Source organism: Homo sapiens, chromosome 14 (genome assembly GCF_000001405.40).
Source record: "Homo sapiens chromosome 14, GRCh38.p14 Primary Assembly".
Lineage (NCBI taxonomy): Eukaryota > Metazoa > Chordata > Mammalia > Primates > Hominidae > Homo > Homo sapiens.
The window spans coordinates 23,381,662-23,409,635 of NC_000014.9; the positions used below are offsets into that span (position 1 = coordinate 23,381,662).

The 27,974-nt window shown below is 53.5% G+C and overlaps 1 protein-coding gene and 1 non-coding gene across 2 annotated transcripts, besides 7 other annotated features; both read right to left on the reverse strand.

Annotated features, from left to right (window-relative positions):
* Window positions 326-26,612, reverse strand: MYH6 (myosin heavy chain 6). Its single transcript, NM_002471.4, has 39 exons — window positions 26,592-26,612; window positions 25,915-25,947; window positions 25,362-25,575; window positions 23,966-24,109; window positions 23,562-23,718; window positions 23,439-23,466; window positions 23,050-23,161; window positions 22,635-22,727; window positions 22,054-22,117; window positions 21,687-21,785; window positions 21,036-21,139; window positions 20,803-20,941; window positions 19,048-19,316; window positions 18,595-18,765; window positions 17,067-17,376; window positions 15,882-15,952; window positions 15,509-15,596; window positions 15,302-15,419; window positions 15,033-15,156; window positions 14,623-14,759; window positions 12,407-12,662; window positions 12,005-12,247; window positions 11,681-11,857; window positions 11,251-11,396; window positions 10,901-10,991; window positions 8,396-8,785; window positions 7,932-8,058; window positions 7,732-7,850; window positions 7,198-7,394; window positions 6,494-6,677; window positions 6,097-6,262; window positions 5,868-5,992; window positions 4,654-4,962; window positions 4,267-4,470; window positions 3,255-3,380; window positions 2,781-3,056; window positions 1,564-1,659; window positions 767-901; window positions 326-402 (listed from the first exon to the last, which is right to left on the reverse strand). The coding sequence occupies exons 3-39, from the start codon at window positions 25,560-25,562 to the stop codon at window positions 379-381; spliced, it is 5,820 nt and encodes a 1,939-aa protein (NP_002462.2). The 5' UTR covers window positions 25,563-25,575; window positions 25,915-25,947; window positions 26,592-26,612; the 3' UTR covers window positions 326-378.
* Window positions 4,034-5,233: an enhancer, noted in NCBI's record as "BRD4-independent group 4 enhancer chr14:23854904-23856103 (GRCh37/hg19 assembly coordinates)". NCBI's record gives its function as "activates an origin of replication core promoter dependent on BRD2, P300/CBP, MED14 and CDK7 cofactors, and independent of BRD4, by STARR-seq in HCT116 cells {active_cell/tissue: HCT116}" and the evidence as "EXISTENCE:reporter gene assay evidence [ECO:0000049][PMID:35650434]".
* Window positions 6,935-7,005, reverse strand: MIR208A (microRNA 208a). Its single transcript, NR_029595.1, has one exon. It is a non-coding gene; the product is annotated as a microRNA 208a (primary transcript).
* Window positions 7,283-7,886: an enhancer, noted in NCBI's record as "H3K4me1 hESC enhancer chr14:23858153-23858756 (GRCh37/hg19 assembly coordinates)". NCBI's record gives its function as "activates a minimal SCP1, AML or CMV promoter by ChIP-STARR-seq in naive H9 embryonic stem cells {active_cell/tissue: H9 hESC(naive)}" and the evidence as "EXISTENCE:reporter gene assay evidence [ECO:0000049][PMID:30033119]".
* Window positions 7,887-8,490: an enhancer, noted in NCBI's record as "H3K4me1 hESC enhancer chr14:23858757-23859360 (GRCh37/hg19 assembly coordinates)". NCBI's record gives its function as "activates a minimal SCP1, AML or CMV promoter by ChIP-STARR-seq in primed H9 embryonic stem cells {active_cell/tissue: H9 hESC(primed)}" and the evidence as "EXISTENCE:reporter gene assay evidence [ECO:0000049][PMID:30033119]".
* Window positions 20,263-20,805: an enhancer, noted in NCBI's record as "H3K4me1 hESC enhancer chr14:23871133-23871675 (GRCh37/hg19 assembly coordinates)". NCBI's record gives its function as "activates a minimal SCP1, AML or CMV promoter by ChIP-STARR-seq in primed H9 embryonic stem cells {active_cell/tissue: H9 hESC(primed)}" and the evidence as "EXISTENCE:reporter gene assay evidence [ECO:0000049][PMID:30033119]".
* Window positions 20,806-21,347: an enhancer, noted in NCBI's record as "H3K4me1 hESC enhancer chr14:23871676-23872217 (GRCh37/hg19 assembly coordinates)". NCBI's record gives its function as "activates a minimal SCP1, AML or CMV promoter by ChIP-STARR-seq in primed H9 embryonic stem cells {active_cell/tissue: H9 hESC(primed)}" and the evidence as "EXISTENCE:reporter gene assay evidence [ECO:0000049][PMID:30033119]".
* Window positions 22,907-27,782: an enhancer, noted in NCBI's record as "VISTA enhancer hs2155". NCBI's record gives its function as "enhancer in: heart[6/7]" and the evidence as "EXISTENCE:transgenic organism evidence [ECO:0001131][PMID:17130149]".
* Window positions 25,465-25,965: an enhancer, noted in NCBI's record as "H3K4me1 hESC enhancer chr14:23876335-23876835 (GRCh37/hg19 assembly coordinates)". NCBI's record gives its function as "activates a minimal SCP1, AML or CMV promoter by ChIP-STARR-seq in naive H9 embryonic stem cells {active_cell/tissue: H9 hESC(naive)}" and the evidence as "EXISTENCE:reporter gene assay evidence [ECO:0000049][PMID:30033119]".

The window sequence follows — 27,974 nt, forward strand, 5'->3', positions numbered from 1 at the left end:
AGAGTGGCTTCAACTTCGGCACCAAAATTCTATCTCGTAGCATCTTGGACTGGCTCACCATTTTGATGCCATTGTTTTCTTCACTTTTGAAATTTCTCCCTCTCCACCCTTGTGTGGTTGACTGAGCAGAACTGGGACTCACAGCTGTCCACGTCAGGCAGAACACCTCACTCCTCTGCACCTCGGTCTCCTTCCTTGTGGATATGGGATGCCTTGGCTCTGGCAGCTCTGATACAGGGGCTGGGGGCCTCCCTCCTCTCAGGCCCCCTACTGCCCTGATCCAGGATGGACAGCTGGCAGGAAGGACAGATGGGCTCAGGCAGAGTTTGGCACTCATATTTATTACAGGTTGGCAAGAGTGAGGTTCCCGAGGCAGTGTCACTCCTCATCGTGCATTTTTTGCTGCAAAAAGAATAAGAGGTGTGAGGGGGCAGCTGGCAAGAGGGAGAAGTGTGTGGGGACAAATCCCTGGGGCTTTCAGAGGCCTAAGGGAGATGCCCTTGGAGGGAGAGGCAGGGCCCCAGGGATCCTGTGGTCCCACGTTAGAGGCACTTGTGGTTTAGGGGGATGGAACTGGGGATCTCTGCAGAAGTTCCAGTCAGTGGGGGGCTGTTTTGAGCAGGAGAGTGGATTCTCAGGTTATGTAAGCTATGGGACCCTCAGAACTGCCTACATATAGGGCAAGCAGTGCCCACTCTGAAGGGCACCCATATCAGGGGGCATGCTAATGTGGAAGTGACTAGTGAAGCCCAGGGGAGGGACCCACCTTGGCACCAATGTCACGGCTCTTGGCTCGAAGCTTGTTGACCTGGGACTCAGCGATGTCCGCCCGCTCCTCTGCCTCATCCAGCTCATGCTGCACCTTGCGGAACTTGGACAGGTTGGTGTTGGCTTGCTCCTCCTGTGGTGGGACAGTGGGGATGGGTGAATGAGCTGGAGATGGGCTATGGGATTCTCAGCCTCTCAACCTGAGGTTCCAGCTCCCTGTCCCTGAGGCACCCATACCTCATGCATATTCCTGCAACAGCCTTCCCAAGGGTATCCTGCAACTGCCTTGCACTCTTCTCAAACATGTCCAGCACTCAGAGTCCTTCACGGCCATCCACTGCCCCAGACAAATCCCATGCTGCCCGATCTGGGCCCCTTCAGAATCCTGTTTTGCTGCACCTGTCCCGGACCCCAGCTTCCTGTGCAGGCATGCTAATCAGCAACTCACATCCACCCAGATGTCTTCCCCACTGCCCTGTGGCTAGCTGGGTCCCCTTCTAGGCCCAATTCCACCGCCACCTTCCTGCCTTCAGCTTCGGCTGCCCCACGTCCTGCACTAGCATCTACACTGCCTTCTGTTGGGTTATGGTATCTGAATTGTAAGCAGCTTGTAGGTGGTGCCTTTGTTAATTCAGAACACCTGACAGCTCTGAGCATACCAGATGTGTCAAACAAATGTTTGAGAGTTAAAGTTTATAGCAAACTCTTTGTCCAGGCCCCTCTGTAGGAGATATTCATTGGTTCTCACAAATAGTAGGTGTGTTGATGAGAAAGGGAAGAAAGCTCTGAACTCACCGCCTCCTCGGCCTGGCGCTTGTAGGCCTTGACCTTCAGTTGCAGCTTGTCCACCAGGTCCTGTAGCCGCAGCAGGTTCTTTTTGTCTTCCTCTGTCTGGGGGTGGGAGGGTGGGAGAAGCTGGTTTGGAGGGGGAGCAAATGCAATCACCTTTCCCTCCTCCATCATTTTACTCTTCTCCCCTTGCCTTTGCTGCCCCTCCCTGCAATGATCCAGGTCAAAGAGGTGGTGGGGAAGATTCTCTGACTCTATCGTAGGTCAAAGGGGCAATGCAAGGTTGTCAGTCAGGGATCCACAGAGCAATGAAGGCTGAAGTCATAAAGCTAGAAGTAGGGGGAGGGGCTCAGAACCTAATGGAATTCCCTAATGTGGTAATATAAAAGCACCAGGTCTGTTCCAGCTCCAGTATGGTGGATAAAGCTCCAACCTGGACTTACATAGGTTCTCTTGGCCAGTAGTTCTTGACCAGAAAAAGAATGCAGAAAGAAGGGGGTATTATCATAATCCAGATTATTCTACATTCTAATATATTGTACTGGGCCAGAATTCAGGCATCGGGATCACTGGCTCCAACGTCACTCGATCATTCCTATCTCTTTATCATTGTATGTGCCAGGATGCCATTTCTACTTCTGTCCACAAATCACTCTGTGGTTCTGTATCTGTAACCTCTTTCTTGTGCCTCTGGTATCCATCTATCAAATGGACTGACACCCTCGTCTCCTTGGCCTTTTCTTCCCAGGTACACTGAAAATAACGGGCCAAGGGCACAGCTCTCAGCTATGCAAGTGGAGGTTTTAGAGCATTCTAGGGTCCTCTTTCTCTGTGGCCTTCTCTTTGTGTGCCAGAAGTTCTATGGAAGATTTCCGGGTCTTTTCCCCTCCCCTGACTCTTATCCCCACAGTCGAAGGTGGAAGGATTCTTTGAACTGTTCTGAAGTCTTCATGGTAGCACTTAGAGTTATTAAAAAAAAAAAAAAAGAAAGAAAGAAACCTGGGGAAAGACTAGTTAGAAGAGTTTTCAGGAAGTAGAAGTAGATTCTTCATTTGCTGGAAAAACTCATAGACTCAAGTCAAACTGACTGCAGAGCGTGAGAAGAACGTTAAATCTACCAACAGCATCTCAAGGAGGAGGTGAGAGGAGCCCTGTGAGGGCGGGGCAGTGGGGCCAGAGAAGAAACTTCCACATCTACTCCTGGTGTCTGGCGTCCGCCGCACCTGGTAGGTGAGCTCCTTGATGCGCCGCTCGCTCTTCCTCATGCCCTTCACCGACTCTGCGTTGCGCTTCTGCTCGGCCTCCAGCTCACCCTCCAGCTCCCGCACCCGCGCTTCCAGCTTCTGCAGCTGCTTCTTGCCTCCCTTGAGGGCGATCTGCTCGGCCTCGTCCAGCCGGTGCTGCAGGTCCTTAATGGTCTGCTCCATGTTCTTCTTCATGCGCTCCAGGTGGGCGCTGGTGTCCTGCTCCTTCTTCAGCTCCTCTGCCATCATGGCGGCCTGTGTGCAGGAGAGAGGTGGCAAGGAACATGGGCCAGGGGCCGGGGCCTTTTGCCCCCCAAGGATCTCCTTTCTCCCATCAGGCCCTCAAATCCACAGAACTGCAGAGTTGGCTTGGTGTTACAGCACAGTGGCCTGGCCTGGACCCAAGGCCTTGTTTCTGTCTTTAGGGGAGGCGGAAGGTGGGCGGTCACTTACATCCGTGATGGCCTTCTTGGCCTTCTCCTCGGCGTTTCTGCACTCCTGCACTGCCTCCTCCACTTCCGACTGGAGCTGGGTCAGATCCGACTCCATCTTCTTCTTCTGGTTGATGAGGCTGGTGTTCTAGACATGGAGAGAGAAAAATGATCAAATATATACTACACTTTGTTACCTGATTTCATACCCTTTCTCCAGAAAGAATTAAAGGTGGTCATTTTTTTTTTAAAACAACAAGCCCACTTTTAGACTATTGATCGTTTTGTACCTGCTTTCCCTTTTCCTATGAAAGTGCATACATTCTAGACATTGTATCTAAGATTACTAAACTCTGAAAAAAGACTTCAAATAGCAAAAGGTCTGCAGTATTACCCTGGAGCTCTTTAGCAACATGTTTACGTAGGAGCATGACAATATTCCAAGGAAGATGGAAACAACTTTTTACCAGGACAATATTCCAGAGATGTTTATAGCTATACCAAGAATGTAGTGGGGTAAGGAAGAGGGGATGAGGTAAGTGGATGATGTCATTCTCACACATACTAGATTAAAGAACAAAACTCCACAGGGCACTGCAAAAGGTGAGCACAAAGTCTCATTGCAGAGTATAACTGAAAACAGTGTGGGTGGGATTGCAGAAAATGGTGTTCTAGCCAGCTTGGTTTGCAAGAGATGCAGTTATGCTTCTTTAAACTCCCAAACTCTCATCTTTACAGAGCAAGCCGGAGGCTGTCTTTCAGATCAAGAATATCAAATAACAGGATACATTCCACTACTCCCAGATTTGTGGCTTTGGCAGGTATCAGCAATCAATCATGACCCTCTTAGCTTCTAAGTAGAGACCGCTTTCTTAATATAATGGTTCTGCAGCCACCACAGATGAGAGTTGGCCTAAGAGAGGAAATGATTTGTGACCCTGGCTAGATGTGCTCACTTAGAACATCTGGCTTTTCTAGATGTCCTGGGCTCTGCACTCAGTAGGTTTCCACAAGGTGGCTCCTGACCCCCTCACCTGGGAATGCAGCAGCTGCACCCGCTCGCTGGTCTCAATCAGCTCCTGCTCCGCCAGCTTCCGGGACCGCTCTGTCTGCTCCACCACGGCACGCAGCTCCTCCAGCTCAGCCTGCAGCAGGTTGTTGCGCCGCTCCACGATGGCGATGTTCTCCTTCAGGTCGTCGTTGGCACGGACCGCATCGTCCAGCTGGATCTGGGTGTCCTGAGCATCAGGAGAGTGGGTGTGAGCAGAAGCCAGCCTCGGTGCCCTTCACTGAGGGCACCTGTCAGAGGTCCCTGCAGTAACCCAGGGGCAGGAGGAATCTGGTGCCTGTATCCAGACACCACTGCTTCTCCAGGCCACATGGAGGCCAGTCCCCTGAGGGGACCTCCCGCCCCCATGTACCTTCAGCAAGCTCTGGAGGCTCTTGACTTGCTTCTGGGCCTCGGCAGCCATGCGGTTGGCGTGGCTGAGCTGGATCTCCATCTCATTGAGGTCTCCTTCCATCTTCTTCTTCACCCTCAGGACCTCGTTGCGGCTGCGTGTCTCTGCATCCAGGGAGGTCTGCAGCGAGTCCACCACCCGCTGGTGGTTGCGCTTGGCCTGTTCCATCTCCTCGTCCTTCTCTGCCAGCTTCCGCTCGATCTCTGCCTTGATCTGGTTGAACTCTAGCTGGGCCCGGAGGATCTTGCCCTCCTCGTGCTCCAGGGAGGCCTGGGAAGGGGTGGGGCGAGGGCGGGCAGACAGGGCACAGGGCAGGGTTGAGAGGGAGGATGAGAAGATACACGGTGTCAGCCAGGACTATCGCCCAGAGAAGAAGAGCTGAGAAGAGATGGGGAGGTGGGATCTGCACCCCATGCCCACCACGGTGCTATTGGGGAGAAAGTGCTGGACTCTCTGGGCTTCCCCTGTCAAGAAAAGGGTTTGGACCTCACAATTGCCAGACCCTCCAGCACTAACACTGCATAAATTCCTGACCTGTCTAAAGTATTATAGAAAATGGAGGAATTTTTATAACCACAAATACAAAATTTTATCTTGTTTTCCAGGTCCCTCACCCTTTCCTGAGAAAAGTTAGAAGCCCAGAAAACTCAGGGCTATTCCCAGGTGCTTAGAAATGAAGAGTAACAATAGCTAATATATATTAAGTGCTTAAATGTGTTACCTCATTTAATCTTTATAATAATCATGTGTAAAATCATATGAGGTATGTACAGTTAATTCCATTTTACAGATGAGAAAACTGAGGCAGAGAGAGATTAAAGATTTTGCCCAACGCTGCAGTGAAAGTCCTCAAGCTGTGTTCCAACTCAGGCCTGTTTGACTCTGGAACCCCACACTCCTACCCACTGTCTAAGTGGTTATTATTATGGCCAGATTCCAACTTTTAAAACCTGGTGGGAAACAAAACCTTTGGCCTCTAATCAGACTGACATTTTCCTTTGTGCAGACCTTGGCTTTGGAGGCAGTCATGGGTAGTGAATAGTGGGTAGATAATGTTGAACAAAGAATATGGAATGAATAGATTTTGTCCTGGGGTCAGGGTCACCCCCAGGTGAGGGAGAAGTGGGAGACAGCGGCAGAACAGGGATGGGGTGCAGGGAGTTCTCGGCCCTCACCTCTGCCTCCTCCAGGGCTGACTGCAGCTCCAGCTTCTCCACCTCCAGCTGTTTGCGGACCTTCTCCAGCTCATGCACATTCTTTCCTCCTTCTCCTAGCTGCTCAGTAAGGTCCGAGATTTCCTCTGGGGACCAGAGGGCCAGAAAGCTCAAAGCCTATGTTCCCCCTGCCCCTGCATGGCCCTCCCTCCCACCAACTCATCTCTGGCCTCTTGGACCCCCAGCACACCCTGAAGGTTCTTGTTCTCCCGCTTGAAGGTCTCTAGGTGCTCCAGGGACTCCTCGTAGGCGTTCTTGAGCTTGAAGAGCTCTGTGCTGAGGGAGCGAGCCTCCTTCTGTGAGGACTCCAGCTCAGACTGCGACTCCTCATACTTCTGCTTCCACTCGGCCAGGATCTGCCCGGGGACAAGGCTCACTCTTCAGCCCCCCAGCCTTAGCTCCCCAGCCCTCCTGCTTCCCAGTGCCCCAGCCCCCAGCCTCAGCCGCATGTCCAAGATCTGTCCCTGGTCCCGAGCCTGGGCTTAGCCCTCCTCCTCCACCTCCAAGGAGGTTGCCTTTGGCCTCTCACTGAACCCCTCATGCCCCCTTGCCCTGCATGCTGGCTGCGGCCCCCGCCCATGGTCCACCTTGTCAAAGTTTCTCTGCTTCTTGTCCAGGGCTGCAGCAGCAGCATTGGAGCGCTCTACGTCCACCATCAAGTCCTCTATCTCATTCTGTAGCCGGTGCTTGGTCTTCTCCAGTGAGGAGCACTTGGCATTAACAGCCTCCACGGCCTCCTCGGCATCCTGCAGCCGCTGGGCCAGCTTCTTTCTGCCCAGGTGAGGGTGGAGGGTGTGTGTGTGACTCTACTGGGCAACACTGGAGCCTTGGGTGGACCTCCTTCCACCCCCTCCCTATATCTCCTTGAGACACCGTAAGTCCAGCCTAGCAGGAGCTGAGCCTGCTCATGCCTGGAACAGAGTCCGCCAGCACGGGCTGCCCAGGCGTCCTCCCTACCTGCAGTGGCATCTGGGTGTCAGTGCCCCCTGCCCTCACCCCCCACACAGGCTGATCGACGGTAGCTCCTCTGACCAACAAGCTTTTTGCTCGTCTTATACGTGAGCATCAGGTATAACCCGGGCCAAAAGCTCGCCCGTCACAGGAAGTGGGTCAGGGCCAGCCAGAGTTCACAGAGCAAAGAGTTCAGGCTTTCTTCCAAGCACTTCTGTTGCCCTCCGAGTTCCTCCTGTCTCTTCCACTTCCGTCTCATGACCACTTTGCCTGTCCCCACCCCAGGTCCTCTCGCCCCTTCCTCTCTGAGAGTCAGGTTAAGGGGGTATCTGGAGCTCACTTGGCCTCTTCGAGCTCCTCAGTCCGCTGAATGGCGTCCGTCTCATACTTGGTCCTCCACTGGGCCACCTCCGAGTTGGCCTTGGACAGGACGCGCTGCAGCTCGGCCTTGGCCTCTGTCTCCTCCTCGTACTGCTCCCGCAGCAGGTCGCAGTCATGCCGGGCCGACTGCAGTGCATGGGCCAGGGCGTTCTTCGCCTGGGGAGGGGGGGGGGCACCAGGAGGTGGGAGGGACTCCCTGTGCCCCATTCTCTAGATTCTCTTCTTATGTAGTACTTCAACCAAGCCCAGCCTTATTCACCATGTGGGCTGATGTGGCACCTCACTGTTTGAGGAGTTTCCCAGTCTGCTCACCCCATCCCCTTACGAATAAGAAAAGAGGCATTAAATGACGCTTAGCTGCAGGGCAGAACCTAGACTGGAGGGTCTTTCCCTTGCAGAGGACTCTTTCCAGCTCCAGGCTCCATTTCTGGCACTGAGATGAATTGCCCCAGGGCTGCCATCAAGCCTGCCCACCCTCCCCACTGGGCCTCACCTTGCCCTCCTCCTCCAGCTGCCTTTTGAGGTCCTCCATTTGCTGGGTATAAGAGAGCTTCCCCCGGGTCAGCTGCGAGATTAGCGCCTCCTTTTCCTCTAGCTGCCGGGCCAACTCTCCTGGAGGTGAAATGAGGGGCTTGTGGGCCATTTCACAAGTCATGTCCTGCCCTAGGCAGGGGGTTGGTTAGGGGCACCCACCATTCTCGGTCTGCAGCTTGGCTCGCTGGGTGGTGAAATCATTGAGGGAGCGTTGGGCCTCTTCTAGCTTCACGCGGTACTCATTGGCCTGGTCCTCCAGCGTCCGAGACACTTTCTCCAGGTTTGCCTTCAGGAAGCAAGACAGGAAGGGTGAGTGTGGGAGGGGCTGAGTCGACCAGAGGAAGGAAGAGAGGGTCAGAGATGGGGAATGCCAGAGGGCAGGAGGGGGACACAGAAGGTGTGGGAGGGCGCAGTCTGAAGAGAGACTTGAATTAAAGAAAGGAGGAACATGAAGAGATAGAGAGGGTGAGGAGAGCCAGAGAGGGGCAGGGGAGACAGGAAGAGAGACCAAAGGGTGATGAAGAGAATGAGAATGACAAGGGAGATGGCAGACAGAGAGAGAAGGCATGGGGGAGGCTCCGCTGTGCAGGGGAGAGGGCGAGGGGAGGCCGAGCAGAGCCTGCCTTGGCCTTGATGATCTGCTCCATGTTGGAGGTGACGTCATCCAGCTCCAGCTTGAACTCGCTCTTCTCCTTCTCCAGCTTCTGCTTCACCCGCTGCAGGTTGTCGATCTGCTCGCCCAGCTCGGCCACGCTGTCGGCGTGCTTCTTGCGCAGGGCCGCGGCAGTGGCCTCGTGCTGCAGCGTGGCCTCCTCCAGGTCCCGCCGCATCTTCTGGAACTCGGCCTCGCGCTTCTTGTTCATCTCGATCTGCACGGACGTGGCCCCGCCGGCCTCTTCCAGCCGCTCGCTGATCTCCTCCAGCTCCCGAGACAGGTCTGAGCGCAGCTTCTCCACCTTAGCCCTGGCGGTGCGCTCGGCCTCCAGCTCCTCCTCCAGCTCCTCGATGCGTGCCTGGGTCAGACACAAAGGGCTCAGACCCACCGCCTGGACCCCTCCACTGGAATCCCCCCGGCTCTGAAAAGCTACCAGGAACTTAGGTTCCTCTCAAGCAGTGGTTCTCAACTAGGGGCAATTTTGTGCCCCAGGGAACAGTTGGCAATGTCTGATTGTCATGTCTTGGTGGGGCTTGCTACTGGCATCTAGAGGGTAGGGGCCAGGGATGCTACTAAACATCCTATAATGCATAGGCCATCAATAGGAATTTGGCTGAAGCTCCCAAGGGCATCTCAGACCCAGTGTGAGCATCTGCAGCCCCAAATCCTGAGAACCTGTGGTTGAAGGGGGATCCTGGTATCCTGTGAGATCAAGAAGTTCAGAGTCCCCAGATTCACTAGGCTCTGTTGCGCTATTCATAAGACGGGAAAATGAGTGCTTGTATTTTACAAATATTTGTGACAACATGCCTCGAAACAATCAGATACCTTTGCAATTCTCCAAGTTAACCACAAAGTCCAATCAACCATATTCCTTGCTCTCCCAGGCTTGCTGTGTTTATGCCCAGGGCTGGGTTTCAACATGATTGCTCCCTTCCAGGCCAGGAAAGTGCTAGCAGGCTACTCTCCTCTTCACCTCATCTCCTTATCCTCTTTAAGTGCCCTTACCTCATTTTTTGGGCCTTAGCCTTGGTCTTGACTAAATTGGGAGAATATCGTATCTACCATTTTGATCTGTTGTCTGGCTAGCCAGGAGCAAAACGGGGGTTCAGTGGAAATCCCTTCACCTCGGGTTATGGACAGCTTTAATGGACTGTTCATGGATGGGTCCTACAAGCAGCAGAGAGGACCACCATGCCTCTGCTCCCAGGATGGAGAAGGTGGGACTTCTGAGCAAGATCTTGGGGATGAAGGAGGAGCCATAGCCTATTGCCGAGAGCTGATGAGACTAACAGGACTGTTATTCTGTGTCCAAGAGGCCAAACAAGTTGCCCAGACCTAGGGTAGAAGAACCTGAGGATGGCCCGATATTCTAGCTAAAACCCAGAAGGGGCATCCAAGAAGATGGGAGGGCAAATTACTAATGAAGGCGGGCCAGTCCCTGTGCAGCCCCAGAGGAGTGGAATTGTGTTCATACATTACTTGCAGCCTGGGCCATGGGCCTCAAGTGCAGAGGGGAGACTACCTCTTTCTACCAGCCACAGTCTGCCCCAAAGTGAGAGGACAAGGTCCCGCCCCAGTAGCCGAGTTCCTGTTGCCCTTGGGGTCACTATGTCCAGACCTGGCCATGTAGCTTCTGTAGCTCTATAATGGGGATGGCAGTGGACTTCCAGGTCTCTTCTGACAAACCCGATACTAAAAGCACATTAGGGTTTGAGGTTCATTAAAGCTAAGGGAGACTATGGCTGTTCACTAAATCTTGAGCTGCAGAGGAATGAGAAGGCCATTGAGAAGACAAAACAATACCTTCTTAGGCTAGTGGCTGGCTGACTTCTCTAAATTGGGCTATATTAATATGATACTTGTATAGAATTTCCTAGTTGACAAAATGGTTTCAAATACATTATCCCCTCTGGTCCTGTGTGGTAGGTATTGTCAGTCTCATTTTACAGGTGAGAAGAGAATCTGAGGATCAGGGAGGGTAAGTGACTTGCTCACAGTTGTTGGAATTGGCTCTTATCATGAGTGCCCTATGGGGACTCAGCCTGGGTTAGTGGCTGGGGTTAGTACCGGGAAGAATATGAACAGAGCAGCTCACAGGAAGGTGCTCCTTGAAGCCTTTTTTTTTTTTCACCCTGCGTTCAGAGGGCTGAACTACCAGAGGAAGGGTTAGAGGAGAATAGAGCTCTATCATTTGTCTTAGAGTAGAAAGTCCCTGAGGCAGAGCAGATCTCAGAAGGAGAAGCCCTTTAGTAGGTATGAGTCCCCCTTCTCAAACAGTTTTGCTAACGTAATGTATTCTTGCTCTATGGGGGAAGGCTAGTGTTCCTGAGCGCCTGTAAGTCAGGGATGGTTGGGTCTATGAGGCTGCCTGGAGTTCCAGATATTGTGTAGAACCCTAAGCAGCTGCTGCAGCCTCAGTTACCTCAGGGCTATTGAGCTCCCACTTTCATGCACTGGGAAAAAAAGTCACCTGGTTTTCCTTCAGTTTCTTCTGTAGTTGAAGGGCCAGCACCTGCTCATCCTCAATCTTACTGTTCTGCTGATTAATGTCAAACTCCTTCCTGCAGGAGAAGGGTGGGGGTGGGGGAGTGACAGGTAGCCTTCCTTCCTCTGGGGCTCATTCTCTTCTTGGCCTTAGTATGCCAGAATCGGCACCTCCCCCTCCCCTCGCCAGCCCAGAAAGTGGCGGAAGAGGGCTGTGATTGACCTTATTCCCAGCATACCCAAGGCAACTGTGGCCAGTGGAGGCGCAGCACCCTGCACTCTATCTACCAGGCCAGACACCTCCATTAGCCCCTCCTGGCCACCACAGTCTCCTACTTCTTAAGCTTTTCTTCCAGCTGCAGTTTATCATTTTCCAGGTCCATGATGCTCTCCTGGGTCAGCTTCAGGTCGCCCTCCAGTTTCCGCTTTGCTCGCTCCAGGTCCATGCGCACCTTCTTCTCTTGCTCTAGGGATCCCTCCAGCTGTTGGAGGGAAGAAAATAAGCAAAGTGTGGAAAACATGAAATCCATAGTGTATGCTCTTTTGCCTCCTTCTAAACTTGAAGTCCAGTGGGATTGGAAGTCAAACCAACAGAGAAATCCTGCAAGCACAAAGGATTCAGAGACCTACTGTAGTGAGGAACTACAGAGAGCAAAAAAGCTTCAGGGGCCATAGAAGTTAATTCTAGGGATCAGGACTTTCTGGGCCATTGGTGTTGCCTGCAAAATCTTGCTCTGAGAGCAGGAGCATGGTTCTTACTACTCACATCATCCACCTGCTGCTCCAGCTTGACCTTAGACTTGGACAGGCTGTTGACCTTGTCTTCCTCAACCTGAAGGTCATCCAGGGCCTGCTGATGGGCCTCTTGTAGAGCTTTCTTCTCCTTGGTCAGCTTAGCGATGATTTCATCCAGCCCAGCCATCTCCTCTGTTAGGTTCTTCACCTGCCGACCAAAAACCCATCCCCTTTAGGGTCAAAGATCACCAGCCTGGAGACATCTATGGGGACCTCCATGCCAAGGACCAGGACAACACTCTAGTCTGGGAGTCTTGAGGAGACCTGGGCTGAAGCCAGAGGGAGCTGCCCTCACCTTGTTCTCTGTTGCATGCTTCTCCTTCTCCACCTTGGCCAGTGTCAGCTCCAGGTCATCAATGTCCTTCTTGAGCTCTGAGCACTCGTCTTCCAGCTTGCGCTTCTTGGCAGTGAGCTCCGCGTTCATCTCCTCCTCATCCTCCAGCCTCTCATTCATCTCCTTTACTTTGGCCTCCAGCTGAATCTTGTTTTTGATCAGCTGGTCGCAGCGCTCCTCAGCATCATTGAGGTTGTCTTGTTCCTGGGAGAAGAGAACAGGGAGGAAGCTGATGGTTAAAGAGAGGAGACCTAGGGTCTTAAAAAGAGCTGGCACTCCTAGACTCCCAGTCCCTGGTTGTGAGATGGGCTATAATCTAGGGGAGGGGAGGAGAGGGCTGAAGAGATAATCACGTGGCCTCACCGCCTGCACTTGGAGCTGCAGGTCATTCTTCTCCTGCAGCAGGGACACCATCTTCTCCTCCAGCTCCTTGCGGCGAGCCTCGGACTTCTCCAGCGTCTCTTTGATGCGCCCGAACTCTTCCTTCATGGTGGCCATCTCCTTCTCCGTCTCTGCGCTCTTCAGCAGCGGCTTGATCTTGAAGTAGAGCTTCATCCAGGGCCAATTCTTGACCCCCATGAAGGCCCGAATGTTCCACTGGATTACCAGCAGGGCATCCCTGGCAAGGAAACGTGGAGGCAGGGTGGGGCACTATAAAAGAGAGCTTCCCAATCATGGGCCCTACTAAGCAAGTTCGTAGGCACGTAGACTTCCTTCTTGTGCACACCCACCTCCAACATCACTACACTGAACATGGAGTTGCTTGATAAATATTTATTAATCAATTTGATGAAAGGGCAGTTTATATCCTCCCAGCTGGGATATTAGTGGTAATGGAAACTACCACTTATAGAATGTCTACTCTGTTTGGTTTTTCTATTCTCATAAGAACTTCAAATATGTTAAAAATTATGTAGGGGTTTACATATAAGAATGTCTATAATAAGTATGTAAGTTATGCAGCATGAAAGCAAAATGACTATCCATGAACCTACCACTGAAACAGGAGCTGAAATGTTACCAGCCATTGATCTACCTGTGCGTTCCTTCCTACACCCCTGTCACCCCGCCAGGAGCAGCCGCCACTCTGAATCTTATTTTTCCTTTCCTTGCTTTTTCAAAAATTACTTTAACCACATATGAATGTATCTTTATTTTTATTTTACTTTATTTATTTTGAGATGGAGTTTCACTCTTGTTGCCCAGGCTGGAGTGCAATGGCACAATCTCGGCTCACTGCAACCTCTGCCACCCGGATTCAAGCGATTCTCCTGCCTCAGCTCCTGAGTAGCTGGAATTACAGGTGCCTGCCACCATGCCCAGCTAATTTTTGTAGTTTTAGTAGAGACGGGGTTTCACCATGTTGGCCAGGCTGGTCTCCATCTCCTGACCTCAGGTGATCCGCCTGCCTTAGCCTCCCAAAGTGCTGGGGTTACAGGCATAAGCCACTGTGCCCAGCCATATGTATGTATCTTTAAACAATGAATGGCTGGTTTTGATTATTTATGAGCTTTATAAAAATTGCATCATACTGTATGTATCCTTCCAAGATTTGCCTTTGTTTACTAACAATATGCTTTAATGTTCAAACATATTGTATCATGTAGTTGGAGTTCACATCTTTTCACTGTTTTATAATATTCCACTGAATGACTGTAATACTATTTACCCATTCCCCTGTGGATGGAAATTCAAGTTGTTTTAAGATCTTTGCTATTATGACCAATGCTGCTAAAAGATTATTTTTCATGTCATGGTGTACATGTATAAGAGTTTCTCTGTAGGAATGTACTCAGGAGTGGAATGGAGAAGTATGCAGCTGTTCAACTTTTTTTTTTTTGAGATGGAGTCTCGCTCTGTCGCCCAGGCTAGAGTGCAGTGGCTCGATCTTGGCTCACTGCAAGCTCTGCCTCCCGGGCTCATGCCATTCTCCTGCCTCAGCCTCCAGAGTAGCTGGGACTACAGGCATCTGCCACCACACCCGGCTAATTTTTTGTATTTTTTTAGTAGAGATGGGGTTTCACCATGTTAGCCAGGATGGTTTTGATCTCCTGACCTCGTGATCCACCCGCCTCGGCCTCCCAAAGTGCTGGGATTTCAGGCATGAGCCACCGCGCCTGGCCTGCAGCTGTTCAACTTTAAAAGATAGTGATAAACTGTTTTCCTAGGAAGTTGCACTAATTTACACATCTGTAAGCAGTGGGTCAGGCTTCTTAATTTTTGTCAGTCTAGTGATTTTTAAAACTTTTAAAAATTATTTTTCCTTTCATTTTATTTTTATCTACTTGTTTCTTTCATTTTTTAAAATTTGTAGACCATCTGAGCAAGCAAAGTCTAGTGTTTTAAAATGGTATTTCATTGGTGTCTTAATTTGCATTTTCCTATAGAGAAGTTTCTTTAAAAAAAAAAAAAGAAGAAGAAGAAGAAGAAGAAGAATTTGCAATGAGATTCGAAGTGGTAAAGTAACTTGCCCAGGCCAGCTGGTAGGTCTGAACCCAGGTCTTCTGACCCACACTAGTTGACATTGCGGATCTGCCTCTACATCTCTAGTGCATGCCTCCCTTTTCCTCCTGTCTCACCTGCGTTCCACTATCTTCTTGAACTCAATGCGCATGAGCTGGCCCCGGGCTTGGGCCTGCATGCGCGTGATGATGCGGCTCAGCCTCTCATCCCGCATCTCCTCCAGCAGCCCAAGCAGCCCTGCCTTGAAGAACACCTGCAGGCAAGGGGTAGATGCAACAGGCCGCAGCCTCAGAGGGGAGTATCCAGGGTGGAAGACCCTGGATGAGCTCCCAGGTGACCCATCACCCCATGCCTTCTAGAAGTAAGAGTAAAAATTTGACAAACAAGACCGGAATGAAGCCTGGGTTTCAGCCCTTGATAAGGTTGATAAGGAAGCCAGAATTAGGCTTCTGCCTCCTAAACTCCTCTCTGCTCCACTCAACATGGCCACCTGCCCTGCAACCACCCAGTGGGGCTCTAGACTCACCTTGGTGTGGCCAAACTTGTACTGGTTGTGATCAATGTCCAGAGAGCTGAGCAGCTTCTCTGTCCCCTTCCTGCTATCAATGAACTGTCCCTCAGGGATGGCCACTGGGTTCAGGATGCGATACCTGAGGAGGGAAGTGTCCAGAGTCACCCATGCTCTGCAGTGATCTGCTCTGCCCACAGAATTCCAGGGTCACCTGCAGATCCCATTCCCATCAGGGCAGCCTGGCTCCCCCTGTTCTATGAGCTCTGGGGCACCCTCATACCCACCTCTGCCGGAAGTCCCCGTAGAGGATGCGGTTGGGGAAGCCCTTCCTGCAGATGCGGATGCCCTCCAGCACGCCATTGCAGCGCAGCTGGTGCATGACCAGGGGGTTGTCCATCACCCCTGTGTCAGGAGGGAAGGGGAAAGGGTCAGCCTTAGGGTAAAGTGGATGCCAGCTGTCCTCCCCAGACTAAGGTCTTCTCCTGGCTCACCTGGAGCCTTCCGCTCATTGGGGATGATGCAACGCACAAAGTGAGGATGGGTGGTCCTCAGGTTGGTCATTAGCTTGTTGAGATTTTCCTGGAGGCAGATGAAGGTGGGGAGTTAGGAGCCACAAGGACCATCCCTTAGGCCCTTAAACCCTGGTCCCCAGACACTCTCCACCAGAATCATCAAAGGGACAGGGGCTGCCACATAATTTGTGACGTGAGTTCAGGCTTTTGTGGAATCTACACACTAAAAAACGACTACGTAGCCCTAGCTTCTTTCCTCATCAAACTCAAGCATCAGAATAGGTGGTGCAGCCAGAAGTCTCTGGGCTGGGCCATTCCACCAGGTGTCCTGGCACCCCTGGGCCCTTCTTACCCGGTGGAGAGCCGACACCGTCTGGAAGGATGAGCCCTTTTTCTTGCCTCCTTTGCTTTTACCACTGTCCCCTAAACAGCGAGAGGAGAAATAATCAACAGGAGCTGGAAAATAAAGGAGCCCTTGGGCAGAGGCAGAGCTCTGCTGCTCGCTTGGTAGCTCTGAGACTTTGGGCAAGGAATTCTCCAAGATTCAGTTTACCATGAGGATGACAGTAACAACTTCCCAAAGTTGTAAAGAGGATTAGATAAGACCACGCCTGTAGGGCAGCTCACTGGTGCTTGCCCATAGTAGGCACTGACATACATCAGTGCCCTTAGCTCTCCCTCTACTTGCCCTTCCTTCTTATATCTTTCCACATTCTAGTTCTCCTCCTCCTCCTCCTCCTCCTCTTCTTCTTCTTCTTCTTCTTCTTCTTCTTCTTCTTCTTCTTCTTCTTCTTCTTCTTCTTCTTCTTCTTCTTCTTCTTCTTCTTCTTCTTCCTTCTATTTTTGAGATGGAATCTCACTCTGTCACCCATGCTGGAGTGCAGTGGTGCAATCTTGGCTCACTGCAACCTCCGTCGCCCGGATTCAAGCAACTTTCCTGCCTCAGCCTCCCAAGTGGCTGGGACTACAGGCAGGTGCCACCACGCCAGGCTAATTTTTGTATTTTTAGTAGAGACGGGGTTTCACCATGTTGACCAGACTGGTCTCGAACTCCTGACCTTGTGATCCACCCGCCTCGGCCTCCCAAAGTGCTGGGATTACAGGCGTGAGCCACCGTGCCCAACCTCTACTTTTCTTCTTACACTTTATCCTCTTCATTTCAAGCCACATCCTTTCTCTTCCTTTTCTGAACTGGAGGCTCTTTTGTTCAGTGTCCTCTCAACATTTGTTGAGAACTCCCACATGCATCGTTCCCTGCTGGGCATGGTACAGGGATGCATGTGCCACCCTCACTGACCTCCAGTTACTCCCCATCTTGAGGAAACATGAGACAGCTATATCAACACTCATAACACAAAGTGGAGAACGGCAGGTGCTACAGAAGCCCAGCTGGACTGTGGTGAGGTGAGCCAGGAGGTGGCTTGACTCATGGGCTCCCCTGTGCCTGCCTATGGAGTCATGTGCTTTGAAGCAGCAGGACCCTGGCCCTTTGTGTCTTCAGAAGTCCCCTGGCCCAGTGCAGGGGCTGCCTGCTTACCAGTATCGGCAGTTGCGTAGGAGGAGAAGAGAGTGGCCATGAGCTTGAGGGAGGACTTCTGGTACAGGGCCACAACAGTCTCGTTGAGAGGATCCTTGTTTTTTTCCAGCCAGCCCAGGATGTTGTAGTCCACAGTGCCGGCGTAGTGGATCAGGGAGAAGTGGGCTTCCTGCTTCCCCTTGATGTTGCGTGGCTTCTGGAAATTGTTGGACTTGCCCAGGTGGTTGTCGTACAGCTTGGCCTTGAAGGTCATGTCAGTGGCCTTGGGGAACATGCACTCCTCCTCCAGGATGGACATGATGCCCATGGGCTGAGGGCAGGGTGAAGAGGCAAAGAGAGAATCACTGAGCACACTCCCAGGCTTCCACAGTCCCATACCCTGACAGGAAAAGGAATCTGGAGCCAGTAGCGCTGGCCTGCTGAAGGGGCGCTGTGCTGGTACCTCTTACCCTAAAACAGGAAGCCAATATTCCTGGAATTTAAAAAGCCCCTTCCTCCTCCTTTCTGCCCAGTGGGTCCAACAAAGAGTCATGCACTCCTAATCACCCCCCACAAGGCCCACAGTGCCTCACAGCACAGCCCCTTCTCTCTGATGGCTCACTGCCCCAGGGGCAGGAGGGCAGGGACAGATGTGTGTCAGAGGCACCGGGCCAGGCTCTGTCTGTATGACACCAGTAGCAATTCTTCAAGGGTTAGATAGAAGGATCCAGGTTCTTTACCACACTCTGCACTTCCAAAAACCTGGTGGTTCTTGATTTTTCTTGGGGCAGGAATCCTTTTAAGAATTTGTTGAAGCTAAAGACTGTCTCTCCAGAAAAACGCATGTACACACACACACGTACACACACACACATGCACAAGCACACACATGTATGTATGAATGTACACATGCTTTTTTCCACACACAGTTTTATGGCATTCTGAGGGCTCTGAAACATGAGAACTCTGGTTAAGAATCTGGATAATGACCCAAAGCATGTGGGGAAGCTCCCATTTCATGAAGGCCGTGGCTGGGCTGGGTGTGGGTCAGACAATCCGGGCTCTGGCCTATGCTGACAAAGAGCAGAGGTTCACTGAGAGCAAGTCAGCCCCAGCCTATGGGGCCTCCCGCCTGCGGCCTTGTCTCTTCTGAGGAATGCCCATAAGCAAGAGGGCTGGAGACTGGCTTATTTCTCAACCAACAGGAAGGTGGTGGGAGGCCAAACATCTCTAATTTCAGCCTAGGATCTTTCCATGAATGACGCTTCTCATGGGCGGTCAGAGGGGCCAGGGGCCTCTCCTTCACTACATCTCACTCTTAAGACACTGAGGGGACCACCACAAAGGGGCATAAAGTGCAAGGTCCTGGGAAAGGAAGAGTGGGGGGATCATCCTGTTCATGCCCATGACTTCACAGTGGGGAGAAGCTGGGCCTGGAGAAAGGCCTGGGATTCTTGGGACTCTAGTTTCTTGGGTGTAGAAGGGACTCAGCCACCACTTTGTCTGGATGGCAGAGGAGGGGGCATAGGTGGTGAGGCCAAGGAGGCACCTTCTCGATGAGGTCAATGCAGGCCTGCAGGTCCATGCCAAAGTCAATGAATGTCCACTCAATGCCCTCCTTCTTGTACTCCTCCTGCTCCAGCACGAACATGTGGTGGTTGAAGAACTGCTGCAGCTTCTCGTTGGTGAAGTTGATGCAGAGCTGCTCAAAGCTGTTGAACTGCAGGGGGCATGAGGGGTGGGAGCAGTCAGAAAGTGGGTGTGAGTGGCCATTGGGGCTGTGCCCGTGCACTGTGCCGAGCCCAGCAGGGTATGGCTGTCCCCTCCATGTCAGGGCAGTGGAGGAGGGCTTCCCCTGAAGACAGGGACAATGACTGCCTCTGTCACCACACAGTCCCCACTGCCTTCCCATGTCTGGTCCACAGCTGGCTCTCAGCAAATGGCTGTTGAATGTAGGAGCAAGCGAGTGATTGTTCTCCCACTCCCAGGGGTCCCAACTCACGTCGAAGATCTCGAAGCCAGCGATGTCCAGGACTCCTATGAAGTACTGGCGTGGCTGCTTGGTCTCCAGGGTGGCGTTGATGCGCGTCACCATCCAGTTGAACATCTTCTCATACACTGCCTTGGCCAGAGCCCCGATGGAGTAGTACACCTGCTGCACGCTCTGCCCCTTGGTGACATACTCGTTGCCCACTTTCACCCGAGGGTGGCACAGCCCCTTGAGCAGGTCAGCTGAGTTCAGCCCCATGAGGTAGGCCGACTTGTCAGCATCTGGTTGAGAGGGAAAGGATAAGTGAGCACTTCCTTTTTTTTTTTTTAAGATAGAGGCTTGCTCTGTCACCCAGGCTTGAGTGCAGTGGCACGATCTTGGCTCACTACAGCCTCCACCTCCTGGGTTCAAGTGATTTTCCTGCCTCAGCCTCCCAAGTAGCTGGGACTACAGACATGAGCCACCATGCCAGGCTAATTTTTGTATCTGTAGTAGAGACAGGGTTTCACCATGTTGCCCAGGCTGGTCTCAAACTCCTTACCTCAAGTGATCCACCTGCCTTGGCCTCCCAAAGTGCTGGGATTACAGGCATGAGCCACTGCACCTGGCCTGAGTGAACACTTTCAGGGAGTGAGCCTCCTTCCCTGTCCTGGGGCCAAGACTTTAGGAAGCATCAGGTCCAATTTCTTTTCCTTAAAGAGGAAGAAATCAAGGCCTGGAAGAGCACAGGGCTTGCCTTGGTTACTCAACCAACGTGTGCCTGAGTCAGGCTGGAGCACAGCCCCCTTATCCGGCCCATGGCCTCTTGCCACAACTGGCTCTTCTCAGCTCTGTCTCTACATCTGTGGCATCTCTGGGTCAGGTCTTTCACAAGCACTGCTGTGGGCATATCCCCACCTTCACCATATCCCTCGCCTCTCCAGGGCAAGGGTGTGGCTGAGGGGCTAGATGTCCTCTGCTCCCTGTCTCCTTCGTTCTCTACCCCAGTGTCTAGCCCTGGACTGGCCATGCTGTCTTCTCCATCCACATGTTACCCAATCTGACTGGCTGAGAGTATATCAGACAGTACCACGCTCCTACCCCCAGCCATCCAAATGTGCCACCCAACATGGGTATTTCTCTGTTTAGAGGAGGAGTTATTTGGTGTAATTTCAAGAATGTTGTAATAACTGTTGGTGTGTTATCATGAACCCCAGCTTGACACTTTGATCTGGGCAGACTTGGAGAAGGGTCCCTGAAGGTAGGGAGGAATGTTCTTGGGCACCTGTCTAGCACTGTTTGCACCTTCACATTTTCTCAAAGGACCTCACAGTAGCCACCAGAGGAGTGAGGAAAGATTGTTGATCCATTTCACTGAGGAGGAAACTGACACACCAATGCCCTGGGCTATGTCCTGACCCCTGGCCCACTGCCTCCCAAACAACATGGTATGAGCCCACGAGGGGCTTACCCAAGGGCTGGGCAGGCAAAGGCCCTGCATTAGTGATGGTGATGTGCAGAGCTCAGGGGCTGTGCTTCCTGGGGCTGGGGGAGTCTTGGGCACAGGAGGAAAATTCCCCACCTCAGTTCTGGTGAGTGCAGCTGGGGTTGAGGAGTTGGGATTGTGGTGGACTCTCTGTCTGCCCACGTCTCCCACGTCCCTGTCCCTCACCATCCCACAACACACCCCACTGCCCCACAAGCCTCAGAGTCTCTGGGATCTGAGTCCCGCAGAGAGCCTGGTCAGCACCTCAGGCCTTCCCAGGGCTGCCTGCCTGCCCCTCCCACCTTCGGTGCCGTCTGGCTCCGCCTGCTCCTCCCGCTGCTTCTGCTTGAACTTCATGTTCCCGTAGTGCATGATGGCTCCCGTCAGCTTGTAGACGCCAGCTTTCTCCTCTGAAGTGAAGCCCAGCACGTCAAAGGCACTCTGGGACAGAGCGAGAGACAAAGAGGGGGGTTGGAGCGGTGGCCCCAGGAGCTCCTGGGGTCCCTCGAACGGCCGCAGCAGCCCCCTCACTCACATCGGTGGCCATGAGCTCCTCGGAGTCATCAATGGAGGCCACGGACACCTCTCCCTGAGACACGAAGGCGTAGTCGTAGGGATTGTTGGTGACCAGCAGCATGTCTGCACCAGGCAAGGGGTGAGGCAGGGGCAAGGGGGCAGGCGGAGGGCAGGGAAGGGGCAGGTAGAGTTGGGAAAGGGAGGGAGGGGCAGGGAGGGGTAAGGGACGGGGTGAATGGAGGAAGGGAGGACAGGGAGCAGGGAGAGAAGAGAAGTCAGCAAGGACCAAGGAGTGAACCCAGAGGAAGTGAAAGGGTAGAAGAGGGGCCCTGGCAGGGGCTCCAGTAACAAGGAGGAGGGAGGGTGGCAGGGGAGTGACACATGGGAGATGGGGAGGCAAATAAAGAGGAGAAGGCAAAGACAAGCCGAGGGAGGAGTGGAGAGAAGGGTGGAGAAGGAGTGAGGTGTGTGACTGCACAGGGAGGCGAGAGGAGACGCAGGTGGTCTTGGGAGGGAAGCGAGAGGGAGCTGGCGGAGTGAGTGGAGGGAGAAGGGAAGTGAGCAGCAAGGTGGGGCACAGTGGGGAGCAGGAGGGCCCTGCCCTGCATGCAGGAGTCGTTGGGGTGTGCAGCAGGGACAGCAGTGGGTGGGGGGTGGCAGGCAGGTTCACCCAGCAACTCCGGCTTCTTGTTGGACAGAATCTGGTAGAAGATGTGGTAGTTTCTCTCAGCTTTCAGCTGGAAGATCACCCGGGACTTCTCCAGCAGGTCTGAGGTGGGTGGAGGGGAGGAAGGCAGGTGAGGAAGGAAAGAGAGTAGAGCCAGAAAAAGGTGGCCATGGGGGCAGAGGGCAGGGGGCACCCACAGCTTGATGAAGAGGGCCAGGCGAGAAGATGTGGCTTAAATAAAAAGGATCCTAAAGCCCAGAGGCAAATGCAGACAAAACAGGAGATGGCAGGAATGATGAGACTGGCCGCCAGGCAGGGAGAGAAGGCAGAGGGGGACCTAGAGGGTGGCAGCCTCCCTGCTGGTACTCACAGGTCTCTATGTCTGCAGAAGCCAGCTTTCCAGTGGCCCCAAAGTGGATCCTAATGAATTTCCCCTGGGGACGAATGGGACAGAGTGAGGGAACTGGCGGGAAGGACAGAGTGAAATCCTGGCCCTCTGTTCAGCCCAGAAGCCCTGGATGGTTCTGGAAATGTAAACGACCTCTTTGGTGTCTCAGTTGAGTATAAGTGAAGCCGGGCAGAGGATGCCACCCTCACACACTGTGCAGGGACCTCCTAGTGGAACCTCGGCCCAGAGGGGAACACATACAGAATGCCTCCTGCTCATACCTCTCATATGATCTCACCTAATCCTCCCAGTAATCTGCAGGGTGGATATTAGTCCCCCTGTTTCACAGGTGAAGGAACTAGGGCTCAGAGAGGTGTAAGGACTTGCTGAGCAAGTGGAAAGTCAGACCTTTGGCTCCAAAGCCTATGCTCTCTTCCCACCAACGTGTGCATGTTGATATCCCAAAGCCAGATACAGTACAATCAACTGGGTGTGGCAAAACAGCACCCCCTTTTTCTTGTCAAGGCTGGATGAGGCCACTGGGAGTGGTCAAAGGCACTCACAAAGCGGGAGGAGTTGTCGTTCCGGACAGTCTTGGCATTGCCGAAGGCCTCCAGAGCGGGGTTGGCCTGGATGATCTGGTCCTCCAGGGTGCCCTATGAAAGGAGCAGAACTGCATGGGTTCATCCTCCATCCACCTCCAGGCAGTGGTGAGAGGGCAGGGAGGCTGCCCTGGCCCTGAGGAATGGGGGTGCGGGGCTGGGTGAACCGCTAGTGGGTCTGCGACTCCACAGGATCCTACCCAGACCTCAGGGTGAGTGTCTCCTGTCAGGAAGGTCTTCCATACTGGGCTGACCATCGGGAGCCCAGCTCAGTGTGGCTGTCCCCACCACGTCACAGGGAGGGGAGGGTTAGGGGTAACTCGGGTCAGCCTGCCCCCCAACCCCTGTTCTGCCGAGCCTGTGTCCCCCATGGCACCTTGTTCGCATTGGCATTGTCCTTCTTGCCACGGTCACCTATGGCTGCAATGCTGGCAAAGTACTGGATGACACGCTTGGTGTTCACAGTCTTCCCCGCCCCGGATTCTCCCCTGGGGGCCACAGAGACCAATCAAAACTCAGGATTCCTACTGTTCTCCATACAGGGCTCAGCATCACATGCTCCCCTTCCCAGCCTGGCCATCAGAGCCCAGCACCCAGCAGGATTTGCCTGACATGGTTCATTGCTCTGGCACCCCTCTAATGAGAGCTCAGTGCCCCATGCTCCCTGCAATCCCAGCCTTAAACCTCTCCTCCCAACTACACCCTAGGCATCAGCGTGTATGCCCCCAGCCCAGTCCCTTCTGTGGGAGGATGGCACTCGCTCACGTGATGAGGATGGACTGGTTCTCCCGATCTGGAAGAAAAAAGAGGAGAAGCAATGGGGTCAGGGCTGAGGATCTGGGTGGGTGTCTGGGAGGAGGAGCAGAGACCAGGGGCCACCAGGCTCACCTGTCAGCATGTACTGATAGGCGTTGTCGGAGATGGAGAAGATGTGGGGCGGGGCCTCACTCCTCTTCTTGCCCCGGTAGGCGGCCACCACCTCGGCATTGTACACCGGCAGCCACTTGTAGGGGTTGACAGTGACACAGAAGAGGCCCGAGTAGGTCTGGAGCAGGAGACAAGGCTGGGCATGAGGTTGGTGGGGAGAGCCTGGGACAGGCAGTGGTGGCAGCCAGGCATGTCCCTGTTCACTCCAGCTGGCTCTACTCCTCCTGCAGCTGACTAGGGGTGGAGGGGGGAAGGGGACTTGGGTCCCTTGGGAGTCTCTCCCCCTCTTCTTGGGAGAGCCCCCCTGGCTTATTTAGGCCTCCACGCAGCACAGGAAGCCTCTGCAGTGTGCAGGAGCCACTCACATATATCATCCAGGCCGCGTAGCGCTCCTTGAGGTTGAAAAGCACCGCGGGCTCGTGCAGGAAGGTCAGCATGGCCATGTCCTCAATCTTGTCGAACTTGGGTGGGTTCTGCTGCAACACCTGGTCCTCCTTCACAGTCACCGTCTGGAGGGGGCGCATAAGCAGGAGGATGAGTGACCACAATCCCTCCGGGACCCTTGCCAGCACTGCCCACTGACCTCCTCCCAGGACACAGGGACTTGGCCTTGCTCCCCTTGCTCTGACCAGTGCCCCGGCCCCTACCCCGATGTCCCCTGGGACACTTTCCCCAGGTAATTTCCCTTCCCATTGTATCTCCCATCCTAGAGACTGTCCTAGGGTACCTTTCTCTTGCCAGATCCCCAGACCATCCTGGGGACACCCTGTGCCCATGACCATCACTCTTCAGTCCCTATGTTCCAAGGGTCTTGGGGCAGACCTGGAGATTGGCAGCTCTCAGATCTGTGCACACCTTATGCTGACCCCGAGGCTGTCTCCCGCGGGCAGCGCTTTAGGGTATCTGTTGCTCAGGGCAAACCTTCACCCCTGCTGGAAAAGTAGTTCACCCATCTACTCCACACTCCCCATCCATCACTGTTGGTGTGGTTTGATTGGCAGCAGTCAGTTTGCCATGCCCTGATGTCATTAGATCCTGCCAGTAGGTATTCCAGTGTTTTTTATAGTGGAGAAATCCGTGGCTCTAAATGACTAAATGATTTGCCTGCACAGTGACTAGCGGGTGGCAGAGCTGGGATCAGAGTCAAAAGCCCCAGGGGATTGTGGCCTGTTATTCTACACTTCAATGGGTTGTAACATTCAGTCAACGAGTTCATGAGGCACACAGCCCTGAGCCGCAGCTGGTAACCAGGGGTGATTCTCTTGGCTGGTGTGAGCAAACCAGGGACCAGAGCTTCTGAGTGCCAGTCAAGGAGAGTGCTCAGCTCAAAAGTTTCTGATCTTTGTGTTCATCTGGGTCTAAGAATTACTCTTGATTTGGGTGAACGGAATTTGAGAAAGTGGACTCATGGAGGAAACTGAGGCACAGGGAAGAGGGATACAAGTGCAAGAAGGGGGCATCATTTAATGCTGTGTCTGTGCCCTCTTTATCTACAAGACCCCTCTTAGGCGAACACTGAGGTTCTTCTTCCTCAGCATCCTCTCTGGCAGGGGGAACATGGCCCTGGGTGGCACCTGTTGCACCAGCTCAGGTCAATTTGAGAGGGATCAGATTCTGGGCTCCTCAAAGGAGCATGTCCTGGCATCCCCACTGGCCTTGGCTTTTCTCCAGCCCTCTCAGCTCCCCCTGCAAGTGGCTCCACCTCTGCATCTTCTTTCCCAGACCTCCTTCCCTTCTGCCCCGGCGCCATGCCCTACTCACCTTCCCATTCTCGGTTTCAGCAATGACCTTGCCTCCCTCCCGGGACAAAATCTTGGCTTTGACAAACTCTTCCTTGTCATCGGGCACGAAGCACTCAGTGCGAATGTCAAAGGGCCGGGTCTGGGCCTCTAGACGCTCCTTCTCTGACTTGCGGAGGTACTGGGCCGCTGCCCCAAAGTCAGCCATCTGGGCATCGGTCATCTTGGTGCTTCCCCTGGGTCAGAGACAGGAGGGCTATGTTACTCCTGAGGGAGCCCAGGCTCCAGCGAGTGGCTTTGTCCTCTGCAGCCCCCCTCCCTACCCCCGCTCCTCTCCTCCACCCTGGGAGAGGCACCTGCTGTTGCACCCTCCCCTACTCAGGGCTCTGCTTCTCCTGCCCTCTGAGGTGATGCTGAAGGACAATCTCTGTAAGGGGTTTCCCTGGGGTGGCATTGGCTGGAGTATGCTAAGGGTTGGCGCTGAGTGCTTGGGACAGCAGACCCCTGGTCCAGCAATCCGGCTCCCAGGAGAAGCATGCCCCAGTCTCTGCAGAGAAAATGGGGGCAGTTCTCACCTGGTTATCCCTTCACGGAGAATCCTGAAGAATCTGGACCGTGGGTGGAGCAAGGAACAACAGAGGTAGAGCCGGGCAGAGAGAAGAACAGATGAGGAGAGTGAAGAACAACAGAGGCAGGCCACCCGGGGATGGAGGCAGCCCCAGAGCGCAGACAGGCAGGACAGACCAGGGAGTCAGAAAGGGAAAGACGCAGAGGCAGAAAAGAAAGGGCACCGAGTCAATATGAGTGCGAGGGACGGGGTGTGGAAACAGGGTTAGAAGCAGAGAGGCAGGGAGGTGAGAACACGTGCCAAGAAGGAAGGACAAGGGAGAGAGACAAAGAAGCATGATTGTGACAAGTGTCGATGAAGACCAAGAGGCAAGATAAAACCAGGATCAAGGGAAGGAAGCCATCCAAAGGAGGAAGGAAGATGGAAAGATGGAGACAACATGTAGGAGACTCAGAATGATGCAGAGAAAGAAATGGAGAGTCAGAGAAGGAGAAAAGAGGTTTCTGGGTTTCCTGTGGAACCTCCTTGTGTCAGGGGGAACTTCCCTGGGCCTGGAGATAGGCAGTTTTAATAGAGCCCTTAGGCCTCCAACTGACCTGCACCCCACTCCTGGTGAAGGAGGTCCCTCACGGTGGGGGCTCTGTGGACGGGCTGCAGGGCATCCCACCCCAAACCTCCTCTTACCTGGGCCGCAGGAGTCTCTCTATCTGTCCTCAAAGCTCCAGTTCCTTTATATCCCGTTTCCCCCACCCTCTGTCTAAATTTGGAGTCCTTCCGGAGGGACCCTCCCTCCCACCTCTCTCCCCTCCTGGCTCCTCCTCCTTTGATCCTTTGGCTCTGGAGGTGACAGGAGGACAGCAGGGCCCCCTGATTTGCCCAAGAAAGGTCTGCTGCCCCAGCCTCTCTGGCTCCACGGCCTTTTTTTAGTCCTTGGGCACATTCCTCCCCTTCAAAGGGCTGATGAGCAGATAGTGGGAAGACAGGACCTTCTCACACCGCCTCTCCCACCCTGCCATGGCCCTTACCTCAGTTATTTTTAACCCGAAGGGTGAACTGAAAACATGGGTGAGGGTCACCTTCTCCTGCAGGCCAAATGCCTGTCCTCCGCCTCCCAACCATGGGCTTTCCTCCCCTGTTCCCCAGCCTCTCCTTCCCATTCTGACCTCCCTCACACAGTCCCAGGCTGGGAGCATCTTCCTGCTGTTAGTACTGGAGCCCCCAGTGCTAGGGACTAAAAGCTGCAGTATGGTGCCCAGGGAAGGGATCTGTTGTCCATCTCCATGGCTCAGTTTTCTTTTGTCAGGAAATTCTGTCCTGGCCTCAGTCTGCATAAGTGCCATGCCTGGTCTCCTTCTGTTCCCCAAGTCTTCAGACAAGTGTTCTCCCAAGGTCTTGAGGCCACCCTGGTTTGGGGACACGTCTGGAGTCCCCACCCCTTCCCTAATGCTCCTGATAGAGTGGCCAACATCCAACCTGCTCACGCAATGGCAGTGATTCTCCCTGCCGCCTCAGGCAGATTTTCACACAGAACCCCAGTTCAGCACTCTCACATACAGACTTGACCGTGTCTGTGCCCATCTTCAGCCACACATGCAGATTTTTCACACTTACCCACTCAAGCTTGCAGATTTCTTTTCTACTTTCTTTTGTGTACATGGATGCACACATTTGCACATCCGCATTTGCACACATAGGCTTTTGCCCTCCCCTGCTACCCTCTGCTCCTGGGGTGGGGTGGGCAGAAGAAGATGGTGCTAATCCTAGGGCCTGAGAGAGGAGGGGGGTGGGTGAGGGGCTGTCCCCTTCTGCCTCACCGGGCTGCCAGAGGGTGCAGGTGCCTGGCAGGCCTGGGGATTTACACCATCTGGTCCCCAGGCACTGCATTCCATCGGGGTGGGGCTCTGCCACCTGCCCCCTCCCCAGGCAGAATTTTGTTGCCCCTTTCCAAGCCCTCCAGGGCTTATACTCACATTCCCTTCTTTGTGGGTGTCCTCAAGCACCCTAGGCCCTCAAGGCCCCGCTCCCCATCCTCCAATGCTGCCATCTCTCAGAGGCTGTAGGTGTCAG

What these genes read in the sequence shown, in the direction of transcription:
- MYH6 (NM_002471.4), bottom strand. Translation starts at nt 25,562, where the DNA reads ATGACCGATGCCCAGATGGCTGACTTTGGGGCAGCGGCCCAGTACCTC. An exon ending in AGCATGCAACAGAGAACAAG is followed by an intron (nt 11,858 to 12,004) that starts GTGAGGGCAGCT and finishes TTTGGTCGGCAG; the next exon opens with GTGAAGAACCTAACAGAGGA. An exon ending in TGGAGCAGCAGGTGGATGAT is followed by an intron (nt 11,397 to 11,680) that starts GTGAGTAGTAAG and finishes TCCCTCCAACAG; the next exon opens with CTGGAGGGATCCCTAGAGCA.